The sequence below is a fragment of the Homo sapiens genome, chromosome 8 (assembly GCF_000001405.40).
Source record: "Homo sapiens chromosome 8, GRCh38.p14 Primary Assembly".
Taxonomy (NCBI): domain Eukaryota; kingdom Metazoa; phylum Chordata; class Mammalia; order Primates; family Hominidae; genus Homo; species Homo sapiens.
Window position 1 is genome coordinate 51,359,598 of NC_000008.11, and position 21,916 is coordinate 51,381,513.

Here is a 21,916-nt window from a genome sequence, read left to right on the forward strand (position 1 = left end):
AGTAAATAAGGAAATATATGTATAAATTTCCCCTTGTTGAAGAAATATGCAAATCTATGAATTGAAATTGTTCCCTAAGTTTGACACTGGATTGATAAGGAAAGTTACATCTAAGCATATTCTGCTCTAATTCTGAACAAAAGATCTTACGGAATCCCATTAAAAAAGCATTAGAGAACCCTATTTAAGCAGGGGAAAAAAAATCCAGACTGGCACCTATCGCACCTATCCATCCAATTGCAATATAAGAAACTAGAAATCAGGAAAGGAACACTGGCAAAGAATGGGAAAGACCACAGTCCAGGAATCCTATGCAAGTAAGATGCTCTTCACTGTTCAGCGGGAAAAAGATACTTGAGTACAAAATGCCATTTGTAGAATACTTTACACAAGTACTCAATTTGAAAGCATTACTTGATAGGCCACTTTAGGAAAAGAGAAAAGCAAAAAAAAAAAAAAAAGCAATGAGTAGTAAAGGCAAGCATTTTCCACCTATATATATGCACACACCTATACATGTGTACACTTACTCATGTGTATCCCAGACACGTATATACCTATACATGCATGTATACAACCATTCACGTATACACTTTTGTGTACACATATAAACATACCCATACATGTATACAAATATGCATGTACATACCCATATGTGTACACATCTATGCATGCATACACTCAAACATGCATACACCCATACATGTGCATGCTTACACATGTACACACATCTGCATATACACACCTGTACATGCCTATACATACAATACCTATTCATGCATATGACTATACATGTACATATGCATAACTTAAACATGCATGTATCATACGTGCACATAGCTATACATGCCTATACAATACATACATCTACATGTACATGTTTATGCATACACATGTATATATGTACACAACTACACATGCACACACCCATATGTGTACACACTCATGCATACACATACCTATCCACGTACACAGTTATATACACACATACATACGCATGTTGTTAAATTAGGTTTAGACCAAAGCTACTTCCTTACATATTTTAAGTTCAGCCTAAATGTTTTTCCAGACATAGTGAACTGTAACCTAACTGGATGTGTAAACAGACTGTAGTCTACTCTTGTGTCAATCGCTAAGTTTTGGCCAATCAAAGGCAGCCAACTCTTTCAAACTGTGTTCAATAATGCAAATGCTGGTCTGGAACCAATCTGGCTGTTTCTGTACCTCACTTCTGTTTTCTGTACATCAGTTCTCTTTTTCTGTCCGTAAATCTTCTTCCACCACATGGCTGTGCTGGAGTCTCTGAGCCTACTCTGGCTCAGGAGTCTTCTTAATTCACAAATCATTCTTTACTCAGTTAAATTTGCATAAGGTTTTTCTTTTAACAGATGGTGTCAGAAGTGGGACCTGAAGTAGAACTTCCTCCGATGCCCAGAAGCAACATGTGACCAAGTGAGATCCCTGCCAGGCCCACTGTGGCCACTGCTTTCTCACAGCAACTGGGGATCATGGTATTCTCTCTCAGATTCCAAAGCTCCACGGATTTGTTTTTAGCTCTCTGAGTTTGAGCAAATTTTTTTATCTGAACTGGGTTCAGAAAACACAACAGAAACTGGACTGGATGCAGAATCACGTTGGATCTGATATTAACTGGCTTGGATCCAGTTAGAGGCCTCTTATGTCTGACCCAGTCAGACAGAAACTGATAATAAATGGAAATATTGCAGAAGGTATAAATTTCAGCTTTTGCAAATTCACAGGGATTTTTGTGTTCTACCCCTTCCTTGCACTTTTCTCTTTTTGGTTGCTCAGGTAGAAAAAAAATCATTGACTAAGTTGATCAAGGAGATCTGATAGCCAAAGCCAAGATGTAAGGTAAAAAGGAGATCCTTAGTTTCTAAAGAACTGAATAATCCACCTTCCAGCTATGCCTACATTTGCATGTATAAATATCAGACTCTGGAAGCAGCAAACACTTATAGAAGTGGTAAAATCTTACTAAAGGTAATTTAAAATTAGAATGCAATGTTCCAAATGAATAATACCACACTTTAAGCAGTGCATCTGAAAATGAGAATTCCTGGCTAGGTGCAGTGGCTCACGCCTGTAATCTCAGCACTTTGAGAGGCCAAGGCAGGTGGATTACTTAAGGTCAGGAGTTTGAGACCAGCCTGGCTAACATGGTGAAACCCCATCTCTACTAAAAATACAAAAATTAGGCAGGAGTGATAGTGGACACCTGTAGTCCCAGCTACTTGGGAGGCTGAGGCAGGAGAATTACTTGAACCGCAGGTCTTGCCACTGCACACCAGCCTGGGCAACAGAGTGAGATTCCATCTCAAAAAAAAAAAAAAAAAAAAAAAAAAAAGAAAAGAAAAGAAAAAGAAAATGAGAATTCTTAAATTAGTCTTAACTAGGGATGCCTATTGATAGGCAAAAGCTTCTAAAAAGATTTTAATATCTTTACTGTTTTTTAAAAGAGACTTTTTACAAATGGCAAATAAAAAGTTTAAGTGACTAATTGATAAGAAAATATCTGTTAACATTTTGGTTTAGTTATTATTCTGCCCCAAAGGCAAAAAGAAAGCTATCCTAAAGTGTTTACAAAAGATAAGACCTCCGGTAAAGTAGGCTTGCTTCTTTCTCACAGCAATCCATGCTGAATCCAGTCATGGAAAATGCTTTCTTTGCTCTATTCCTTAATGGGCTCCATGCTGAACTCAGTAATTTTAGCTAAGAAATAGTAGCTAAGTTAAAAAGAACACCCATGGAACTAAAATATGCCTTTCTGGAATCTAACTGGCTATCTTTAAACCTTTTTGTAAAAAAACCTACATTTATAAAGGAAATCTCCATTTTTAAGGATATCTGCCTATGTACATTAGAAACTCTTGCCATTGTTTTCAATTTACATAACAAGTCAAACCTTTTTTAAAGTGCTTTTCAGACTATCTTGTCTTAACTGAACTTTTACTTCCACTACTTTTTTTTTGGTTTGAGCTGATGATACAATATTTAGGTCTAAAGTCTTAGCTCTGTGCTGTTGAAATACAGATTTTCTTGTTTGGCCTGGGAGTTGGCCCTTTAGAAGTACAGATTTGGAATTGCCTGGCTGGCAGTTGCTTAGGGCAATGAAGCATGTGATTGAAAGAGGGATAGTCTAAAGAGAGAAAGGAAAAATTATTTATAAGCTAGCTTTATGAAAACTAGAAGATCTGCTTCTGTGTTCATATGTGTACTATATATGTTAAGTGTATGTGATAAAATTTGGTAAATAAAACTAGTTTTTAAATTGTTGGCAAAATATGGTTTCAAAATTGTCAGTTAAATATAAGTAGGTACTTGTTTGATTTGACTGTGAGCTTACGGTTTGGTTTTGAGAGTCTGGATTCAGTGATCTGGACAGATGGCCATAGTGAGGCCTGGGGCAAAGTTCTCAGTTCCTAGAACAGCAGCTACCAGCCAGAATCAAGCCCAACATGACCCGTTCTTCCCTGGCCCAGTTTTGCCTCCTGGCTATTCTGGGAAGGGTTGTATCCTCCAGGCATCCTCCTCACAGCTGTCTTCCGTCCTGACTTCTACATCAGGCATGGAAATTCAGGACTTAGACAAGCACTGCCCTTCATAGTCCTCCTGGGTGCCACGTGGCTAAATGGCATATAGGGGAAGACATTAGGGAAGGTACCTGGGGGAAGACATTAGTGAAGGTACTGTAACAGGACAAGCCGTAGACAAAACCCCTCAGACACTGAGTTAAAGAAGGAAGGGCTTTATTCAGCCGGGAGGTTTCGCAAGACTCACGTCTGAAAAACCGAGCTCTCTGAGTGAGCAATTCCTGTCTCTCTTAAGGGCTTACAACTCTAGGGGTTCCACGTGAGAGGGTAGTGATTGATTGAGCAAGCAGGGGGTACATGACTGGGGGCTGCATACACCGGTAATTAGAATGGAACAGAACAGGACAGGGATTTTCACAGTGCTTTTCCATACGATGTCTGTAATTTATAGATAACATAACCGATTAGGTCAGGGGTCCATCTTTAACTACCAGGCCCAGGGCGTGGTGCTGCGCTGTATGTCTGTGGATTTCATTTCTGCCTTTTAGTTTTTACTTCTTCTTTCTTTGGAGGCAGAAATTGGGCATAAGATAATATGAGGGGTGGTCTCCTCCCTTAGTACCTGGGGGAAGACATTTTCAGTGCATGTTTTCTGGTTGTATAAAAGCTTTCCCATGCACAAGGGCTGATGTTATAACAGTAGCTAAAAGATTATTCCTGGAGAAATAGCCAGAGATAGGATACTTATTTCACTGGACAAGTTATAAAACAGTTAAATAAGGTATTATAGATACTATAGTACTGGGCAAAGCTAGAGGAACTGACTGAATTGTTTTGGTAAAAGGTATTGTAGATTAATGACAATCACATCCACTTCCAGTGTAAAACATAAGTTGACACCTTTATTATGTCATTGAAAGGACTATCCCCCTAATAACACAGTCTCATGTATCTTCCACTAATAAACTCTGACATAACTAAATGCTGCAAAGCCTTAATGCACTATGTCAAGGTGTATTTTCACAAGGTAAAGAAAGCTTTACATGGTGATCTGACTGAGCACAATCTAGAACCTGAAGACTGAATTTTCTGAGAACAACATCAGAGTTGTCCTTTGCCATCACATTGTAGCAAAACTTTGAGACCTTGAACCTTGGGTTCATGACCTCACAACTCAGAAGGTCCCCTCCACACTCTTACTGTATTCCCACTGGAAACCTTAAGGTTAAAGCTAACCAGGAAAATTTCTCCCCAGAAGAAGATAACACCATTGATGTGGGTAGCTTTTTCACCAGATCAAGAATCAAGACTTCTCTGCTATCATAAGACTCTTATCTTTCTATTTTTTTTCCTTGCTTATACTTCTATGAACAATAAAAGTGAAAAAGGAGATGGTTGTGTGGACTCATGGGGTATACTTTTATTTTGTGAAAGATATTGAAGCCAGCCTTATATACATAGACAACTTTATGCTTTGATAGATGGAAGATGAAGGGCCAGTGTAAGTGAGAAATGTTCATGGTACATTTGTTGTCTCACAATCAGTCAGAAACAGAACACGGATACCCTCCTCTTAACCTACATCATAGGTTAAAGAGAACATTGCTGCCATCGGTTATGGAGAAAATTAATAGGAAGACTTCACTCTTCCAAATGGGCATCTTTTGTTAGGTTTCTTTTCCCATGGTTTGGAGTAAATGAAGCAATGATTAGAAATTTATCCCTCATGATAGGCTCTTATAGCAGATAATACTGTAAATGCTATGTTATACAACAGACTTTATTTTTTTTTCTTTATTTTATTTTAGAGATGAAGTCTCGCTCTGTAGCCCAGGTTGGAGTGCAGTGGCATGATCTCGACTCACTGAAATCTCTGCCTCCTGGGTTCAAACAATTCTCTTGCCTCAGCCTCCCAAGTAGCTGGGATTACAGGCACCCACCACACCCAGCTAATTTTTGTACTTTTAGTAGAGATGGGGTTTTACTGTGTTGGCCAGCCTGGCCTCAAATTCCTGGCCTCAAGTGATCTGCCCACCTCGGCCTCCCAAAGTGCTGGGATTACAGGCTTGAGCCACCAGGCCCAGCCAGTTATACAACAGACTTTAAATGCTCCTTTGAAAGTTGTGCTAAATAATAAAATTGCTCTAGATCACTTAGTGATTAACAGAGAAGTGTCTGTGTAGTTGTTGGCACTTCTTGTCACCCATGGAGAAATACATCACATCAGGTATTACAGAGATTCAGTTGTAAGGAATTAATGAATAGACTGCTTGGTTAAAGTGAGTAGATTCTTTACCTAGCACATTCTTTGATCTATTTGATTTTATTTGGTTGGTTTGGTTTATGGGACCCCAGGTAAGGAGCATACTCCAAGCTCTTGGTATTATCCTCCTGATAATCATAACAGTAGTCTCCCTGCTGCGTTGTATTCTCTCAAAAATTTTAAACGTTTGCATGCAGCCATCTGTAGAATGTCAAATGGCCTTTCTTCAACTGGAATGACAAAAACTCAAAGAAACATGTGATCATGAGAACATCGTAGCCTGTGAGTGATATGCTGAGACAGAAAACCCAAAATGATGGTAACTGAGAGTGGTGATAAGGCCCTAAGTATTGGTCACATGCTCACCTAAGTGAGAACCTTACCAAAAAGGGAGAGGAGGTTTTTAAACAAAATTATGGGAGATCATTGTTTTGGACTGAGCTCCTGCACCAGGCCCCAACAAACCAGACAAAAGCAAAATGGAGGCACTTATGCTAAAAGCAGCATAACCAAACTGAAACTTTAAGGAAGGAGATAGGTCCTAAAGTGACCATTTTCTCCCCCTGTGAACAGTAGATTCCAACAAAAGAAGGTTGCCCCTACTGTAACCCTCATGAACACACAAAATTACTTGACATTTACGATGATGACAGAGTGACATTAATTCCTAAAGTTTTGGTCTATCTCCCAAAGTTGAGAGGATGACCAAAAGAGGGAAATTGCTAAATTAAGCTTAGCCCAAAGCTGCCTCCTTACATATTTTAAGTTTGGCCTAAAGATGTCTGGACATAGTGAACCTGACTTGAAGTGCAAACAGACTGTAATCAACTCCTGTGTCAGCTGAGCCTCATAATCAGTTGGCCAATCAAAGGCAGCCAACTCTTCAAATTGGGTTCAAATAAGGCAAAGCCCAAGCTGTGACCAATTTGGCTGTTCCTGAACCTCACTTCTGTTTTCCGTACATTGCTTCTCTTTTTCTGTCCATAAATCTTCTTCCACCACGTGGCTGTGCTGGAGTCTCTCTGAGCCTGCTCTGGCTCAGGAGGCTGCCCTTTGTCAAGTAAAGTCTGTTAAACTTAATTTGTCTAAGGTTTTTAACAATGTACACATCTGTATGTGTACACACCTATACATGTATACAGACATAGAAGATACGTTTTACGTATTTATGTATATAATGCATATGCAAATAATGGGAAAAATAAATAAGGCTAATTTGAAGAGGGAAGCTCTAAATAACAGTAAATGAAGTAACTAAATTAAAGAAAGCCCTCTGTACAGTAGGACCTGACAGTGGGCAGTGCACAGGGAGAAGGAGCAGCACAGGTGAAATGCAGCAGCTACTTTGTTACAGAGAGGACCAAGGGACTGAAAGAAATCTTCTTAAGCATAAAAAAATTCAAATAAACCGGGTGTGGTGGCTCACACCTGTAATCCCAGCACTTTGGGAGGCCGAGGCAGGCAGATCACAAGGTCAGGAGTTCAAGACCATCCTGGTCAACATGGTGAAACCCCTTCTCTACTAAAAATACAAAAATTAGCTGGGTGTGGTGGTGGGCACCTGTAGTCCCAGCTACTTTGGAGGCTGAGGCAGGGGAATCGCTTAAACCTGGGAGGTGGAGGTTTCAATAAGCCGAGATCACACCACTGCACTCCAGCCTTGCGACAGAGCAAGACTCTTGTCTCAAAAAAAAAAAAAAAAAAAAAAAAAAAAATTCATATAAAAGGAAGCAAGCATGTTGCTGCTGGGTAAATGATGAAACCATTTCAATTTAGTGGCAAGCCTGGGATGTTCACCCTCACCATTGTTAACACACAGCATTTGCAGAGAGCTCATACAGATTGATTAAAGGACAAAGACTATGAACACACAATGCACACAGCCAATCCCCAAAACCAAAAACCATGGAAAAAGCTGTTTAAACACACTAACAGAGAAATGAAAATTAAAATGAACTTGAGATAATTAAGTTTTTACTCACTGCACTATCAAAAAACCAAGGGCTATATTACCAATTGCTGGTGGGGAAATAAAGTGGGTATTAATATAATTGTTTGTGGAATCGTCATGTTTATCTTTTTAGAAATAAATCTGACAACACTTTTTTTCATTAAAAAGCCTATATCCTGTACCTCAGCAACTTTACTTTGGGAATTCTATAAGAACCTAGCCTATGGACATATAAGCCCTGATATGCAAAGTATGGCTGCATGAATTTTGGTATATACAATCCTATCCATTAAATACTAAGCAATATTTTAAAGGAATTACTTATATAACAGATACATAGAATGACTTGAGGAAATTTATGAAAAAAAATGCACGACAATGGATTTAGTTAAGGGCAAAAAGAAAAACAAAAACACCATGTTGTTTTAGAATAGTTTGAAGAGAAACTGAAATTCATGGGTTAAAAACTGTGGATAGGGCCACAGGGTGCAGTGGCTCATGCCTGTAATCCCAGCATTCTGGGAGGCCGAGACGGGTGGATCACCTGAGGTCAGGAGTTTGAGACCAGCCTGATCAACATGGAGAAACCACGTCTGTACTAAAAATACAAAAATTAGCCAGGTCTGATGGCGCAGGCCTGTAATCCCAGCTACTTGGGAGGCTGAGGCAGGAGAATCATTTGAACCCGGGAGGGAGAGGTTGCAGTGAGCCAAGATCCAAGATCACGCCATTGCACTCCAGGCTGGGTAACGAGCAAAACTCCATCTCAAAACAAAACAAAACAAAACAAAATGGTGGATAACAAAATTCTTCATCAAACATAATAAATGACACGAAAACTACAAACCAAGTCCTTAACACCCCAACTTTTTCCAGTTTGATCACCCATACAAACCCATAGCCTTACAGCTAAGTGACAGAAATCCCAGCTCCATTATTTAGATCTCATGCCTTCTACCTACAAAGAATAACAAGATATAATGATGTAAATCTTGACTGCATTTATATTATCACTGTTTAAACAGACTCAGAGTCCATTTCAATGTGTTTAGGAATTTAGGAGAAGAGTTTCTCCAGGATTTTAAAAAAATGTAGTTAAATTTGGAAGATGCTGGTATCAGTATTAACCAGTAAGCTATTATTCGTGGGAAACAAAAAATGAAAAAAAAAATAGCCCTGTTGAAAATAAAATTATTCTTTAAAAACAACATAAAGGGCTGAGGGTCAATTTAATCATACATTTCATTCTAACAAAATGAACCACTAGGACTGCTTGGAGTGGCCATTTACATCCCAAACGGAGGTCTCTATTTTACTCTAGGATAATGCCAGTTAAAACAATTAAATCCACTGGGCATGGTGGTTCACACCTGTAATCACAGCAATTTGGGAGGCTGAGGCAGGCAGATCACTTGAGATCAGGAGTTCAAGACCAGCCTGGCCAACATGGTGAAACCCTGTCTCTACTAAAAATACAAAAATTAGCCGGGCGCAGTGGTGCGGGCCTGTAGTCACAGCTACTCAGGAGGCTGAGGCAGGAGAATCACTTGAACCTGGGAGGCAGAAGTTGCAGTGAGCCGAGATTGCACCACTGCACTCCAGCCTAGGCAACAGAGCACAACTCTGTTTCAAAAAAAATAAAAATAAAAATAAATAAATAAATCATTTAAACACCATCACTTATTTTAGTCTGAGAGTGAGATTAGCAAAGGAGAGGGAAGAAATCTATTAATACAACATGAATGAACACACAACAAAGACAAGTGTACTGAGTAGTGACATAGTTTCTAGGTCCTTTAATACACCTTCTCTGTTTGGGAAATTCGCAACTTCAGGTCTCAGGGATGGACTCAATGTAGTCAATACCAGCACTTCTCAACTGCCTTACTTAACTCAGACCATTAAAATGTATAACCTACCTGAAACTACGGAGCCACAGTCTAGAAACTAGTTCCTCAGAGATCTGAATGTTCCAGCAGGCCTCTAATCTACATAGAGCAATGTTTCTGTTAATTGGGAAGTGTAAGAAGCCCATCCCATAAGAAAGTGGTCCACTTTGGAGCAGTTACTAAACACCTTTTGTTAAGCCACTCATTTTAAACTGTCTTTTAATTTTTCTGAAAAATCCACGCTTGTTAGTCAGAAAGTACACGGAAAAATACACATGTATCCATTTGTAATGGTTCTCATTACAAACATTACATTAGGATTGGAACTACATCAGGCATATTCATATCTTTAGGTAATTTTGCTACTGACATGACTTCTGAGCATTTTTATAGTGCCATAAAAAAAAAAACACTGTATGTTTGTATCCAGTTAAGGAGTAGATGTTTACTGCTGGCTTATTAATTTTCAGACATTTTTTAAAGACACTCACAGAGAAAGAGTATTCTTATTATTGATTGGGACCACAGATCTTGATAAGAACGCTGCACAAACTCAAGACCCCAACCCTCCTCTGGTCTGTTACATCCTTGCATTGCATTTTCCATAACAAACATTGCCCACAGCAGATTCATTACCATTTAAATAACCAGAGGAGCCCTCCTCCGAGTCTTCAACATGGAACAATGGCAATGGGGGGAGGGCAGCAGAGGAACTGCCCTTGGTGGGGGCCTGCTCACTGTCTCTGTGCCATGCACCTACCCTACACGTGCTACCAGGTGGCGGTGCGCACAGAGGAAAGAGCCGAGGCCTTCAGGTCAGCTGTGGGACCTTAGAAAATGGATTTAGTTTCCAGGAGCCTTATTTTCCTCATATGTAAATCAGGGATAATAACAACCACCTTGAAAGACTCAGGACAATTATATGAGCTAGGTGTTTCCCTGAATCACATATCACATGGGCAGAGGTGAGAAGAGCTAGAAATGGTATGTGTCAGTATGGGCACGCAGCCCTGGCCTCTACACGGAGCCATTGCTTCCTTGCAGGGCACTGCTCTGGTCATCACAGCCCACACCCTGCCATGCCATCTATCTCTCCCTCTGCTCAGCAGGCCCTATGTCCCATCCCAGGGACATTGGAGAAGAAGCAAAGGAGTGTTACAAGTTGCCATTTATATGGTTTGTATATTGCTCTCTGCTCCTCCAACATTCTGAAGAGGGGGGACTATTTCATTATTCCTGGATCTAATCACTAAGAACTTGAGGTAAGGGAAAGAATGCCACCCTCCCCGGGGTACCACATTCCTTTTTGCTGTGTCCGATAAAGCACCACCACAGTGAAAAAGACAACCGTGACTCAGGTGTCATTGAGTCTGGCTCTGTCACCCAGGCTGGAGTGCAATGGCACAATCTGGGCTCACTGCAACCTCCGCCTCCAGGGTTCAAGCGATTCTCTTGCCTTAGCCTCCCAAGTAGCTACGATTACAGGTACCCATCATCACGCCTGGCTAATTTTTGTATTTTTAGTGGAGATGGGGTTTCGCCATGTTGGCCAGGCTGGTCTTGAACTCCTGACCTCAAACAATCCACCCACCTTGGCTTCCCAAAGTGCTGGGATTACAGGCGTGAGCCTCCGCACCCGGCCAGTGTTCTATCACACTTCTAGCAGTGGCTTTCAATTTCCTCCCCTGACAACAAATCTCTAGTACTACTTAGGTACTGAGAATGATCATTTCAGTCCCAGAGAACATCAGAACTCCCAGGCCCATGGCCACTACACGGAGCAAGCATGAGGCTATGGTGGCCCTTGTGTCATTGGCGTCCAGAGGAACTGCAAATATCCTCCATGTGACAGACACCTGCTCACCTGTGAAGACGTCAGCATGTTCTGCTCCAGAATCATCAAGTCCTCAGTTCATCTCTAGGTTTCAACAAACAATACATCTTTTCTCTGGCCCTGGCTCCACCACTTACTCATCTTTGGACTTTGAGAAAGTCATCTAATATTTTTGAGCCACACTTTCATCAAAGGAGAAAGAAATCCACATTTCTAAAGGGATATTGTGAGCACAAAACAGATGCTTATAGAAGCACCTTAGGGAAAGTTTGGTTCGTAAACGGTGATGTTGTAGATATCACCAATTCTGTTGTGTCATTAGGGAAAGTTTTTCCTGACTCTATCAAAATTTCCTTGTACTTCCAATGAGCACTACTGCAACATCTTATGAAGAATGGATAGCCTAAGTTAGCCAAGTCACTATAAACTTTCATTTCTCTTTTGTTAGATGAACCCCAAGAAGTAGATATAGTCAGTACCAAGTGATTGGCATTTGATCTTTGGTGCAGAAATCTGAAATGCAGTAAGAAGGCAGAGGCCAGTTTTGCCAGCAAGAGTCCCCATTCTAACAAGGTTAGTGTGGAATGGAAGAGGATGGGCAGGTTGGGAGCCTTTTTCCTGGTGTCCACCCCTTCATCATCTGTCAGATTTCCAAAAGGAAAGTTCTGTGTTGTTGGCTTTTTGCGTATCTTTCTTTAAATCGCATAATCTTTACCACTGAAAACAATTCAAGCATGAGAACATGCACATCAATCCAGATCGTGCTCATTGCATTATTACTGACCTGCACAGCAGTCTTGCCACACTCGCAGGTCCACCTTCGGGATCTCGCTGCAGTTCAGGTAATCCTGTGGGTATTCTGCCTTTACAAAGACATCAGCCTGCACTTGCTGAATGCTGTCACCATTGTCACAAAGCACCCGGCTCAGGGACGCCTGCTTCAGCTGAGTGAGTTGTGCCGGGGTAAATACTCCAGGGTTTTCATACCAGAACCTGGTAGTCAACCAAAAAAAAAACATTGTCGTGGGTCTGTGGCCTGAGAACTCAGCTGCATGTCAAACAGCCACAATGCACCAAGAAGAGCTCAACATAAAAGACGCATACTGAAAGAATTATGCTTGTTCTCCAACTGAGTATCCTTTTAATTCTCTCCAATATTTACAACATTCTTAAATCACATTCTTCTGAACTATCACTTTCTACTCAAGCTCTACAAAATGATTCAAAGGAAAGTTTTCTAAGGTTTTCCTCCAAAAAAGAAAAGTCCATTATTACATTTTTAAATTTTTTTTAATTTTTAATTATTTTTTGAGACGGAGTCTCATTCACTCTGTAGCCCAGGTTGGAGTGCAGTGGCATGATCTCAGCTCACTGCAACCTCTACCTCCCGAGTTCACGCAACTCTCCTGCCTCAGCCTCCCAAGTAGCTGGGATTACAGGCTCCTGTCACCATGCCTGCCTAATTTTTATATCGTTACTAGAGACGGGGATTCGCCATGTTGGCCAGGCTAGTCTTGAACTCCTGGCCTCAAGTGATCTGCCCACCTCGGCCTCCCAAACTGTTGGGATTACAGGCGTGAGCCACCGCACCTAGCCCTATTGTTGCATTTAAATTCCATGAACTAACCTTAGAAACTGTCTGAGCAATGTAACATTAACACGTTTGCCTAAAAAGAAAATAGCACTTTTGATAATTAATATATACTATTTGGTTATATCCATCAACTAACTAGAATAAGCACATTCAATTTTAAATGAAAGGATACAATCAATTTTAAATGAAAGAACTATTAAAGTCAATCTTTGGGTACATTCAGCAAAGTCAATCCTTGGGTTCATTCATTCAGTAAATATTTGAATATCACATGCCAAGCACTTTTTTGTGCTGAGTATAGAGCAGGAAATTAAGATGGTAGGCAAAAAGACTTCTTGCCACTATCTTGATGTTATGGACTGAGCTGTGTCCCCCTAAAATGTATATGTTGAAGTCCTATGCCCCAGTACCTTCGAAGGTGACTCTATTTGGAGACAGGGCCTTTACATAGGTATTTAAGGTAAAAATAGATCACGTGTGTGAGCCCTAACCCAGTATGTCTGGTGTCCTTATAAGAAAAGGAAATGTGGACATAGATAACAGAGGGAAGACCACGTGAAGACACAGGGAGAAGATGCCACATACAAGCCAGAAGAGACGCCCCAGTAGGAATCAACCCTGCTGATGCCTTGATCAGCATCTAACCTCCAGAATTGTAAGAATAACAAATTTCTGTTGTCTAAGCTATCCAAGCTATGGGACTTTGTTACAACAGCCTGGTAAACTAATATATATGGGGAAGACAGCTTAACCCCCAAACTGAAGGTTTTTCAATTATTTTCAGTCTTTGACTACATATATTTTTAAACTATTGCCAATTGAGCACATTAACCCAATTATGTGAGTCAAGAAATTCAGTGTTAAAAATGATTTTAAAAAATTAATGAAATATACTATTAATTGTTACCAATGTGCAATAAAGGGAATTAAATCCTTTGCTACTTTCTCTATAATTTGTAAAGGGAAGGGATTTAAAGTAAAGAATAATTTTTATTGTAACTTTAATTAAAAACTAAGCTCTGGGCTTTGTTTCAAGTCTTATATACATCATCTCTGAAATAATACAAAAGGTTATATTGTCAAACAGATTCACAAGATTCCTAGATCTTACTCAACACTAAGCTTCACTAATGATTCAGAAGATACCATGCCCTGGAACATACTTGATTCCAAGCAATAGAAGAGCACATGTCCACTCAGGAGAGGCTGCTTAGGTTTGTATTTCTTGGTTTTTATTCTTGGTTAGTCTTGGAACAGTAAACAGATTACGTGACTAACTTACATTCTCCAGCCTGCTGTTTCCCATTATTTCATGATTAAATTTATTTACAATGAACATTTTAGACAAACCAAGAAATTTTAGAGAAGAGTTCCCAGTTATCTTTCCACTCGTAAATGCCCTCATAATGTAATTTTACAAGGAGATCTGGTCTAGGGTCATCAGGTCTTCCTCCATGAGAATGAAGGGAGGGAATCTCAAGGCTGCTACCAGTTCCTTCCTTCTCAACATCATTGAAGGCTGCAGACGTCCTATGGAATAGGTACAATTGTTACTCACACTTTACAGATGAGGAACCTGGTTCTGAGTGATACATGTCTAAAGTTAAACAGCTGTAAGTGGTGAGACTCAGATTTAAGCACAACGTAGTCCATCTAGCCTTCATCCTCTCAATCGCCAACTTCTATTGCCTTTTGAGAAATTCTGTTTCTTCTCTTCTTACAAAGATTTACAAAAATAAATGTTATCTGATAATATTGGTGGTTACAAAAGTTCTGTCACCTAATGCTATCTGATATTCATTATACTCAATATGCATTAAATCATAAAAATATGAATCACAATGTTAAACATATACATTTTGGGTCAAAAACAACTTTTGTGATATTTAATAAGTATAACAGATAATCATTCACCTATCTCCATCTCTTAGCCGCTGAAACTGGGTAACAAACAGGCACATAAGTGTTGGTCCCACTCTTGTACCAGGAATCAGGTCTTCAACCATAAGGGCGGGCCAGAGGTCAATGTCACCTGGAGAGCCGTACAACCTGGAACAGAGACAGGCAGACAGCGCACACCTGAGACTGAAAGTGGAATTGAAAATATTCCTTATGTGAATGACCACCAAGCATTATTTTATCCACACAAAAAAAGAAAAGTAGATATGATTACTGTATTCTCATTTCATGGGGGAAAGCACTCAAATGAAGGAACCCTCAGGGATCACCCCATAGGCAGGAGGCAGAGTCATAACCTAACCAAGGACATATGACACCAAGCCTCATGCAATGTCCCCTGTGCAATTCTTTATAATTATTCTCTAAACATATGGAGTATAACTGTATATATATATATATGCAAGTGTGTGTGTGTTATGTCATGTATAAATGCAACTAGCTAATTCCTTCAGAAATACATAGAAAATTAACAATTCAGCATTGAGAAATGTCCACATCAGTGTATATGCTAGGTATGCTAAAAAGTCAATAGAAAATCATAATTTGCGGAGATGATAAGATAAAAAGTGTTAGGTAAGTTTTCTCTTGATAAAAAGGCAATAAGTATTTGACCTAAGATTTGAAGCAATTTTTAAAAACAACAAACAAACAAAAAAGCACAATGCAAATGTTGATTATAAGCCAACAGCCTTGGCTCACCACTCAGAGAAAGAAAATATGTCCATATGCTTGACACTCCCAGTAGGAGCCACTCTGATTGTTTTTTTCTCTCTACTCTAATGATAAACGTGACACCAACTTAACTTGTCCCTTGTTTTATTTTGTTTCATACATATGATTCTCTAAACTACAAATAGTTTAGTTTGCATGTTTTAACCTTGTCACAAATGGAAATATAGTATTCATACTTCCTTTTTCTCACTCAACAGTTTACTTGGCGATGCAATTGTGTGGTTGCATATATTTGTACTTTCTTCATTTTCTCTGCTGTATAGTAAACAGTCTATTATTGGAAACCATTCCAATTTAGTTTAGTTACACTGGTGATGAATACTTGTGAGGTTTTCAACTTTTACACTATGAACATTCTCTACATGTTTCTTCATATGCACAAGAGTTTCTCTAGACTAGGCGTCAGCAAATTTTTACCATAAAGGGCCAGAGAGCCAGTATTTTCAGCTTTGTGGGACAACTGTGGGTTCTGTTGCAACTACCCAACTCCTGTTTTGCATAAAAGCAGCCATAGACAACATATAAACAAACAGACATAGTTGTGTTCCAATAAAACTTTATTTACAAAATTAGAAAAGTAGGTCAGATTTGGCCACTTGGCTGTGGTTTGCAGATCCCTGCTCTAGATTACGTTGTGCAAGAGCTAGAATTCTGAGGGCAGAGTATAGTATCTTCAATTTTAATAGTTAATGCCAAACTGCTATATGAAATTGATGTATGATTCATATTCCCATAATGAGTACACGGAATTACTCTATGATAGATATCCATATGTATATCTTCAATGTTAAAAGACAATGCCAAACTGCTATCCAAAATGGATGTACAATTCATACATCCACAAGAAGCATATCAAAATTCTCAATGTCACCTGGAGAGCTGTACAGCCTGGAACAGACAGGCATATTATTCCTCGACACATTGTAACTTATTCCATTTTACTTTATTTTGTTAGTCAACTCTCATCACTGCTGCCCTTCCCCACTTTCTCCTTCTTGGTTTCTGATAATAGATGGACTTTTTAGATTTCCAAGTGCCTGCTTGAATGTTTGAGTGCTGTTTAATTCTGGTTTGAATGTTGTGTTATTGTTTCCTCCTGTTTCAATTCTTTTTCTGAGAGATTTTTCCTCTGAAATGTTTTGATTTGCATTTCTGTTTTCTTGTTACATAGCTTTATTTGAAATACATCTCTCTCTCTCTCTTAATTCCTATGCATTTCACGAAACGAATTTCTGGTTGGGTAGCATACTCTTCTTTCACTACAGGGAAGTGCAGTCTTTTTGATGTCTGTTCTGGTGGTGATGGGGAGAAGTGAGAGTTAACATGTTTTGCTTCTCTTCTCTCTCTCTCTCTTTTTTTTTTTTATACGGAGTCTTACTCTGTCCCCCAGGCTGGAGTGCAGTGGCAGGATCTCAGTTCACTGCAAGCTCCACCTCCCGGGTTCACGCCATTCTCCTGCCTCAGCCTCCCGAGTAGCTGGGACTACAGGCGCCCGCCACAATGCCCGGCTAATTTTTTGTATTTTTAGTAGAGACGGGGTTTCACCGTGTTAGCCAGGATGGTCTCGATCTCCTGACCTCCTGATCCACCCTCCTCAGCCTCCCAAAGTGCTGGGTTACAGGCGTGAGCCACCGCGCCCAGCCTTGTTTCTCTTTAAGTGCTAGAGCATCCTTAATTTCATTTCATTCTGCTTTAATGTCACCATCAAATCTGAAGTGGCACTCTACCCTTTACACACACACACACACACACACACACACACACACACACAAAGCCAAAGCCATTTCTGGACACTCTCAGATTTGTAAATGGTGTTGATAACTTCCAGGTTTCCAGAATTTCACTTGACAACTTAGTACTTGGTGCTGGAGTTTTTCCTTCTAGGGGATTTTTTTTTTTCTTTTTAAGAGACAGGGTCTCACTTTCTCGCCCATGCTGGACTGCAGTGGTGCAATTGAGAGGTGACAGCGTGCTGGCAGCCCTGGCAGCCCTCACTCGCTGTCGCGGCCTCCTCAGCCTCAGTGGCCAGAGGCCACTCTGGCCGTGCTTGAGGGGCCTTTCAGCCCGCCGCCGCACTGTGGGAACCCCTCTCTGAGCTAAACGAGGCCGGAGCCGGCTCCCTCAGCTTGCAGGGAGGTGTGGAGGGAGAGGTGCAGGCAGGAACCGGGGCTGCACAGGGTGCTTGCGGGCCAGCGCGAGTTCCGGGTGGGCGTGGGCTCAGCTGGCACACACTGAGAGCAGCTCGCCGGCACCACCCGTCCCAGGCAGTGAGGGGCTTAGCACCTGGGCCAGCAGCTGCGGAGGGTGCACCGGGTCCCCCAGCAGTTCTGGCTGGCCAGCGCTGCGCTCGAATTCTCGTGGGGCCTCAGCTGCCTCCCTGCGGGGCAGGGCTGAGGACCTGCAGCCCGCCATGCCTGAGCCTCCCCCACACCGCGGGCTCCTGCGCAGCCCCAGCCTCCCGGAGGAGCGCCACTGCCTGCTCCTGCTCCACAGCACCAGGTCCCATCAACTGCCCAAGGGCTGAGGAGTGCAGGAGCAGAGCAGGGGACTGGCAGGCAGCTCCACCTGCAGCCCCGTGCGGTATCCACTGGGTGAAGCCAGCTGGGCTCCTGAGTCTAGTGGGGACTTGGAGAACCTTTATGTCTAGCTAAGGGATTGTAAATACACCAATTAGCACTCTGTGTCTAGCTCAAGGTTTGTAAATGCACTAATCAGCACTCTGTATCTAGCTAATCTGGTGGGGCGTTGGAGAACCTTTATGTCTAGCTAAGGGATTGTAAATACACCAATCAGCACTCTGTGTCTAGCTCAAGGTCTGTAAATGCACCAATCAGCACTCTGTATCTAGCTAATCTGGTGGGGACTTGGAGAACCTTTATGTCTAGCTAAGGGATTGTAAATACACCAATCAGCACTCTGTGTCTAGCTCAAGGTTTGTAAATGCACCAATCAGCACCCTGTGTCTAGCTCAAGGTTTGTAAATGCACCAGTCACTGCTCTGTCTAGCTAATCTAGTGAGGACTTGGAGAACTTTTGTGCCTAGCTCAGGGATTGTAAACTCACCAATCAGCACCCTGTCAAAACAGACCAATCAGCTCTCTGTAAAATGGACCAATCAGCAGGATGTGGGTGGGGCCAGAAAAGGGTGAAAAAGCAGGCTGCCCCAGCCAGCAGTGGCAATCCTCTGGGGTACCATTCCACTCTGTGGAAGATTTGTTCTTTTGCGCTTTGCAATAAATCTTGCTGCTGCTCACTCTTTGGGTGTGCACTGGCTTTATGAGCTGTAACACTCACTGTGAAGATCTGCAACTTCACTGCTGAGGCCAGCAAGACCAGGATCCCACTGGGACAGGACGGGAGGAACGAACAACTCCACACGTGCGGCCTTAAGAGCTGTAACACTCACTGCGAAGGTCTGCAGCTTCACTCCTGAAGCCAGCAAGACTATGAACCCACCAGAAGGAAGAAACTCTGAACATGTTCGAACATCAGAAGGAACAAACTCTGGACACATCACCTTTAAGAACTGTAACACTCACGGCGAGGGTCTGCGACTTCATTCTTGAAGTCAGTGAGACCAAGAACCCACCAATTCTGGACACACAATCACAGCTCACTGTAGCTTCAAGCTCCTGGGTTCAAGGGCTCCTCTTGCCACAGCGCTAGGACTCCCCAGCCTTTTCTGCATTTTTTCTTCTGTCCTTCCCATTTTTTTGTCCATGGAGATTTTTTTAATTAGTTTCCCTTCTTTTTCCCAATCCACAAACTTCCAGTGAACGTGGAGTTCCAGTGGCAGCTCCGATAACTTGTTATTTTCAAACTTGCCATTGAAACTCATGCCATTTTCTGTCTCTCACTAATTGAAGGTATGAGTCATGTTATTTTGTGTTCTCTTTGTTGATCTTACAGATTTGGAGAAGGCTGTGGTGAGAGATTTAGAAGTAAGGGACAATTATTTTCCTAGGGCTAACCTGAAAATATGTCTTTTTCAAAAAATTTTTGGTAATCTGAGGGGTGTGAAATGGTGTTTCATTATGATTCTGGATCTTCCTAATTAATTATACAATTGAATATCTTCTACGTGTTGATTGAAAATTTAGTTTTTTTCTTACTGAAATGTGTATTTATACTTTTTACCCTTTTTTAATTGGGTTTTTTTTTCTTACTGTTAATTATCTATATATTCTGAATGCTAATACTGTGATCTATGTCAAAATGTATTCCTTGTATTTGTGGTGCTTTTAATCATTCTCATTATGTTAGATTCTGATGAAAATATTTTCTTAATCTTAAGGTCATTTTATCAATTTTTATATCAATTTTACAATTTTGTGTACCTTACTAAAAATTTCTTTCTTTCCCCAATGCCATAGAGATATTCTCTTTTATTTTTTGTGAAGTTAAAATTTTGCCTCTCAGATTTAATTCCTATATCTATCTGGAATTGATTTTCATATATGATATGAGATCAGAATCCATACTCATTTTTAATCCAAGGGTAGCCACTTGGTACCGCACCACTTACTGAATATGTCCTCACTTCTCACTAATGTTTCTTGCAGCTCTTTCAAATAGGATATTTCCATATATGAGCCCTTTTTCTTGTGGCTTTCTATTCTATTCTATTGTCTTAATTACTAAAAGCTTTATATCAGGGTATCCAATCTCTTGGCTTCCCTGGGCCACATTGAAAAAAGAAGAAGTGTCTTGGGCCACACATAAAATACACTAACACTAAGAATAGCTGACGAGCTAAAAAAAAAAAAATAACAAAAAAACTCATAATATTTTAAGAAAGTCTATGAATTTGTATGGGACCACAGTCAAAGCCATCCTGGGCTGCGTGCCTCCCACAAGCTGCAGGTTGGACAAGTTTGCTTTATAGGAAGGGTTGCTAACTGGAACATCAAGCCACCCTACCATGTTCCTCTTGGCCATCAGCTTTACCAGTTTAATTTTAAAATCAGCTGTTGATGCCACAAAGAAGCACTACTAAGCTCTTCATTGGCACTACAATAAGTATATCATTTGTGGGAAGTACTGACCTATCAATATTACTGAATCTTTCTACACCTGAGAATGTTCGTTGTCTCCACTCTTTAATAACTATCTGTAAGTCTTCTAATTATCATTACAACACAATGCACAACTTGTTAGACTTCTTTACCTTTTCTTCTCTTTGGAAGAGCAATTTTTCTTTATATTCATTCCCATTTACTACATAGAGTATTTGCAAAAAAAAGTAATATGGCAGTTTTATCCTTTCTGATCTTTATCTTTTTCTTATGTTATTGTCTTGATTGTACTTTTCAATACAATTTTGAAGTTGCTGCCATTTATGTCTATTCATGTTTTTAAATGGAATGCTTCTAACAATTAATGCTTACAGTGTATTTTTGAGATGTTCTTTATTTAGTTAGGATGTTTCATTTTTCCTAGAATTCTAACAGCCTTTCTTAAATTCTAGAGAAATGTTGCATTTTACATGGAATGTTTTTTTCTGCCAATACTGAAATAATCACCTTTTTCTTTTTAATCGGCTTATGTCCTAAATTATATCAACACTTTAAAAATCTTGGACTAATTATATTACTGAAACGAACCTATTATGATCATGTTATATATGTATGTATATATGGCATTCAACTTGAGTTTTCAATGCTTTGTTTATAATTTTTATATACATTTATATGAGATGTTGTCTTGTAAATTTCCTTGCCTCGTACTGTTATTGTTTATTTTAATATCAAAATGTTACTGGCCTGAGAAAGTAAGTTAGATAGTGTTCCTTCTTTTGCATTCCCTAAATGACTCCATGGGCCTTTGGAACCACCCAAATTACATTTATAAACGGAACACTAGGTTTGATTGAAGAGCATATGTCAAAACTTTTTCTGAAACTCTTCTTTCCCACTTAGGTCTTCTAGAGTCTTTTGCCAAAGCATTTTGTTTCTCTTTATTGTTCTGTGTCTTATCCTGTGTTTCCAATAAAATGAGTAAAAAAAAAAATTTTGTCCAAGGCTACACCAACCTCCAAAATAAGTAAACAATATTTTGTTAGGTAAGAACTAAATTTTAATTATTGCTATGAGTTGAGTTGTGTTCCCATGAAAAGATATTAACATGGGGAAGTACTGCCC

The 21,916-nt window shown here is 40.2% G+C and overlaps 1 protein-coding gene across 9 annotated transcripts in view; it reads right to left on the minus strand.

The window, feature by feature from the left end:
• The window catches only part of PXDNL (peroxidasin like), a 489,869-nt gene that overhangs the window by 40,021 nt on the left and 427,932 nt on the right, over positions 1-21,916 (minus strand). For all 9 annotated transcript variants that reach the window (XR_007060701.1, XM_047421364.1, XM_047421365.1 and 6 more), the window contains 2 exons: positions 15,000-15,134; positions 12,276-12,484 (listed from right to left, as the gene is read on the minus strand). Coding sequence is in view for 8 of the 9 variants with exons in the window: in XM_047421364.1 (XP_047277320.1) it covers positions 12,276-12,484; positions 15,000-15,134 (344 nt within the window). In the remaining variant the exon portion in view is untranslated. The remainder of the gene's footprint in view (positions 1-12,275; positions 12,485-14,999; positions 15,135-21,916) is intronic.